Consider the following 4,752-nt stretch of genomic DNA (forward strand, 5'->3'; position numbering starts at 1 on the left):
CTAAGCTTACCCAAATACTCGACCTGCTAGCCAAGCATCTTGTCTTTTACTTCTTAGTATTCCTAGATTTCCACTGAGACTTGAAGTGTGTACACAATGAATTATGAAAAGGACTCACCACCCACGGAGAGCAGGCAACTTCAAGTTTAGCTCTACAGTCAGTAACTGCTTTTCAACTTGCACCATAAAAACAACACCCAAATGTATACGAACTCTAAAGCTTTAACTGATAGCAGGTTCAAATATGGACAAAATTCCATTTGTCCCAAATGTCTTTATTAGGAAGTTTGAGGCAACAGCAAATCTTCACATAAACATTATTGAAGAAAAAATTTTCAATCATTAATTTCTGCATTCCAACAAATAACTCCTAGTCAAATTGGAAAACTGATGTTCTTAAACTAGGATCACTTGCCACAAAGAACAAAGTGGCATCTTGCAACAAGTCATTTTAAATAAGGCTGGAAGACATCTTTGTGTTTCCTTTTTCAGAGTGTATTCATCAGTAAGGTACTAGCCTAAGATAAACCAGCACCATGGAGCCCTGAGATCACCATGGCTAAGTGGAAGGTGGTTTTGAGGTACTTTTGGCTAAGTACCAGGTAGGACTCAGAAATCTGAGCAGCAGCAGAACTGGGTCAAAGCCTAAGAACCTCTCTAAAATATCCACTTGCTGATCTGCTATCATTAACTACACTCTCCTGAGAATGAAATCTGAAAAGGAAAGTAGCTGAATCCAAAGGTCTTTTGTGAAGTCTAATTGGAATAGAGGTTTTGAATATAAATTCCTAAAAGACACAAGAAGGTATGATGGGGGATAGCGGGGGAGCAGGGATAACATTCCAACTGGTTTACATAATAAAAACCAAAGAGACTGGTAATTAGTATGCACATTTATTTGACATTCTTTGATAACCTTTCCTCTGCTTCACTTTTGCGAAGGGCTATTCAGCATTTTCCCAGACTTACAATTTGGCCCAGATGCTAGAAATAAGCAGCTAATAGAGACCTGGTGTACAGAAGAGAGTAATAGGAAATGCACACAAGTAGATAAATTTGTGGTCTGCAGCCTGAGCCTCAGCACTAAGAGGTCAGTGGGTTATTCTCAAGGACACTCAAGAACTCCCCCTGCCGTTTCTTGCAAACGTAGGACACCCACTGCATTATGTCAACTGAGGAAAGAATATTAAAAGACAAAGTTTGTGACCCATGTTAACTCACACATTTCCTCAAAAGAAGAGTTGTGTATTATTTTAAGATCCATTACTGGGCTGCCAGTGACAATTACTCAGCCACTTATTAGTAAAACTGAGTGAAATGCTGTGAAGGAGTTATTATTTCCTGAAATTGTCTTGATGAAAAAGAAAAAAATGATAACATTTCAGATATCTTAGCCTCATTCTATTTAAAGTTCAAAATATGAGTGCATTGGTTTCCTATGGCTGTTCTGACTGAGGCAGGAATAATACAGGGTGGTCACAGGAGAAAAGAAAATTCCAGGCAGCAGTTTCACATGACTAAGCAAAAGGAAACTGCTGAAATAGCTGCATAAGCGAGGGGCTGATAAGACCCCGAAGAACAAGGGCGTGGTCCAAGCTGGCTAGACCGACTGGACCCAACATGGTGCTGGATTTGACCTAGGTTTCACCTAGAACTTCATTACATGCTCATTACCATGCTAAATCACACACCTTTCCAGGGCCATGACAGTTCTGGAAACACCCATATTTGGTGTAAAAAATGGGTGGTACTACAGTTCCGAGAAATCTTAAAGTTTTTCCAGGAATCTTCATGAATATTCTACCCATTGGTTAAAGAAACCCATAAAAGCAGAAACCCCAAACCCTCTGGCACAACTCAACTCTCATGAGTACACCAGCACTCCCCTTTCTTGAGTGTGTACTCTTTGCTTTGCAATAGATCTCTATACTTTCACTATTTTCTGACTTATCCTTGAATTCCTTCTTGTAATGATGTCAAAAGCCTGGACACCAGCCGGGGTCAAGGTCCCACTGGTGTTTTGGGGGCCTCCCGCAGCCCACCGGCATCATTACAAATTAACACAAATGTGGTGCTTAAAACAATACGCATTTATGCTCTTACGATTCTGAATGTTAGAAGTCTGAAATTAGTTTCACTGGGTTAAAGTCAAAGTGTTGACAGGCTACCCTCCCTCTGGAGGCTCTTGGGAGAATCCCTTTCCTTGCCTTTTCCAGTTTTCAAAGCTGCATTCCTTACATTTCTCGGCTCATGGCCTGTTCTTTCATCTTCAGATACAGTAGCATAGCCTCTTGAAATGACTCTCGGCTTCCAACACATTGCCTTCTCTGTAGTCAGAGCTCCCTCTGCCTTCTCTTGTAAGGACACTTGGAATTACATTTAGTATCCACCCAGATATTTCAGGATAATCTTTCTCATCCTCGAATCCTTAATCACATCTGCAAAGTCCCTTTTGCCATATAAGGTAACATTCACAGGTTTTCAGAATGAGAACATGAACATAAATGGCCATTATTCAGGCTACCACAATGAGTGTCCATATGGTTGTTTGATTTAAATCCTATAATGTGAGCCAAAAGAAAGAAGGCGCAGTGTGGTGGTTAGATCCTTATCCCCAGTGATGCTAAGACCCATCTTGTCATTGTCCATTGTGCAAGCCTAGAACTACTGAAGTTCCTACACAAAACAAGTTCAGACCCAAATCTCTGTGACTCCAGATCTGCAGCTTTTAAAGGGGCAAGCCAGCTAGGTCACGCTGACAAAAACAAAGACAATCATCCTGGGCTGGTGATTAGAAATCAGGAGGCATATTTGCAGCACATTCCAAGTGGACATAATTATCTGCCCTCTCATGAAAGCCCTTGAACCCAGAGCTAAGCTGCAGTCAATAGCACTATGAGGGAAAAAATAATATTAATGAAATGGTAAGGATAGCTGGAAGGGGTGGGAGAACATTTTGCAGAAAACCTGTAAATACTCTCCTAAAAGAAGTAGGTCAGATGGTATTGAATCTTGAGATGTCTGAACTGGGCAGTGACAGTGATTAAGTTGGTATTATAAATGACAATGATTATTCCCTGAACAGGCTGAATAGGAACATTTTAAATACTAACACACCTAAGCCTGAATTCCAGCTCTGCCACTCACCAGCTGGGTTACCTCAGGCAAGTTATTTTCTGAGCCTTAGATTTCTTACCTTATAGCAAGATAAAATAAAATTATTTCTTAGGATTATGGTAAGGTAACAGGAGATCATATATTATCTGAGTGCCTGGAACACACGGTTGTTCATGTAGCTGTAAGTACAAGGGCAGTGGTAGCTGAGGGAGGAGTATGATGTGGAGCTAATGAAACAGCTTAAGGGCATCCAGCTATAGGCAGTGATTATAAACCTCTGCCTCCATTGCCACACTGCCAGGCGTATTGGTTGTCATGTCCTGGTTTACTGCTGTGTATGGCACAATGGTCACCTAAAGAGTTACTAAGGTTCAAGTGTAGCAAGGTTCCATGCTATCTTCCCTGCACACGTGAGTCTGTGGCATCACTGCCAATGCTCTATATTTCTGGACTTCTTGTGTCTCTGGCTTAATGAGCTTTCGTGTAGGGGTGCAAGCTGCAGTTTGTAGCAACAGATTAAAGACTTCATTAATACTCAATATTGACTCACTGACTTGCCTCATATTGACATCAAGATGCCTGTTTTGCAGGCTGCTGCCACAATCATCATTGAGATTTCCTGTCAAGGCATTTGCCACCATTAGCCCTCTTCTTCTGACTGCTTGTTGTTTGTACTTCCTAGAGGCCATGGTCATGCATCAGCCCTACTCATTTAAAGATCACACAAAAAGGTGAGCCTTTTATAGACATTATGAACTAATCACATAAAGTAATACCATTGGTAAGCTGACCAAACACCATATGGGGAATATCTTTGGGTCTTTGCTGCTTTTTACTGATGGGTGCACAAGAGTTTTCCTGGATCCAAAAGGCATGATTCCCTCCCCCACTCCCTTTTTCCCTCATCAACAGCTGTTCAGGACTCAAGGTCCAAACACCGTTCTCTAGCTATTAATTCTAATTTCTCTGGGAAAATGGCAGATAATGACTAACTTCTAGGGAAGATGTACTATCATTTATTTCTGTAAACATTGCAATTACTTTTTCTTTCATTTCCGAAAGGTTTTAAAACTGCTTATGAATTAAGTCAAAATGAGACAAGAATATGAGAGAACATTTAAAGGAAGAAACAGAGTAGGTGTTCAGGCACGAGTTTGACGGATTATAGCTTTGGAGCAATACACTTGGCTCTAAGCATTCTGGATGCCTAGAGTAAAAAGGGAAACACATTGAGATTTTAAAAAGGAAAGCATACATATTAGCATACGAAACTATTCTCACAACTAAACTCAAGTAGAAATTTATTATAATGGTCTTATAGCATGTCAGTATATTAATAGCTTTGCAAAACAAAGTCTTATTTAAAAATAACATTTTCATTTCAACATTCTGAAGGCATATAGAAATATATTTAATTCTAAATCAATGAAAGTCTTTTTTTGAAGGAACATATATCAGTCTGCCAAAACAGCCATAACAAACTAGATTGCTTAAGCAATAGAAATTTATTGTTAGAAATCCAAGATCAAGGTGTCAGCCGGATTGTTTTTTTCTGAAGGTTGTAAGAGAGAATCTGCTCCATGTCACCCTCTGAGCTTCTGGTGTTTTGCTGGCAATCTGGGGTTCCTTGGCTTG

At 40.1% G+C, this 4,752-nt stretch overlaps 1 annotated feature.

Annotated features, from left to right (window-relative positions):
- Nucleotides 586-1,548: an enhancer, noted in NCBI's record as "OCT4-NANOG-H3K27ac hESC enhancer chr8:91591610-91592572 (GRCh37/hg19 assembly coordinates)". NCBI's record gives its function as "activates a minimal SCP1, AML or CMV promoter by ChIP-STARR-seq in naive H9 embryonic stem cells {active_cell/tissue: H9 hESC(naive)}" and the evidence as "EXISTENCE:reporter gene assay evidence [ECO:0000049][PMID:30033119]".

This window comes from Homo sapiens, chromosome 8, assembly GCF_000001405.40.
Source record: "Homo sapiens chromosome 8, GRCh38.p14 Primary Assembly".
Lineage (NCBI taxonomy): Eukaryota > Metazoa > Chordata > Mammalia > Primates > Hominidae > Homo > Homo sapiens.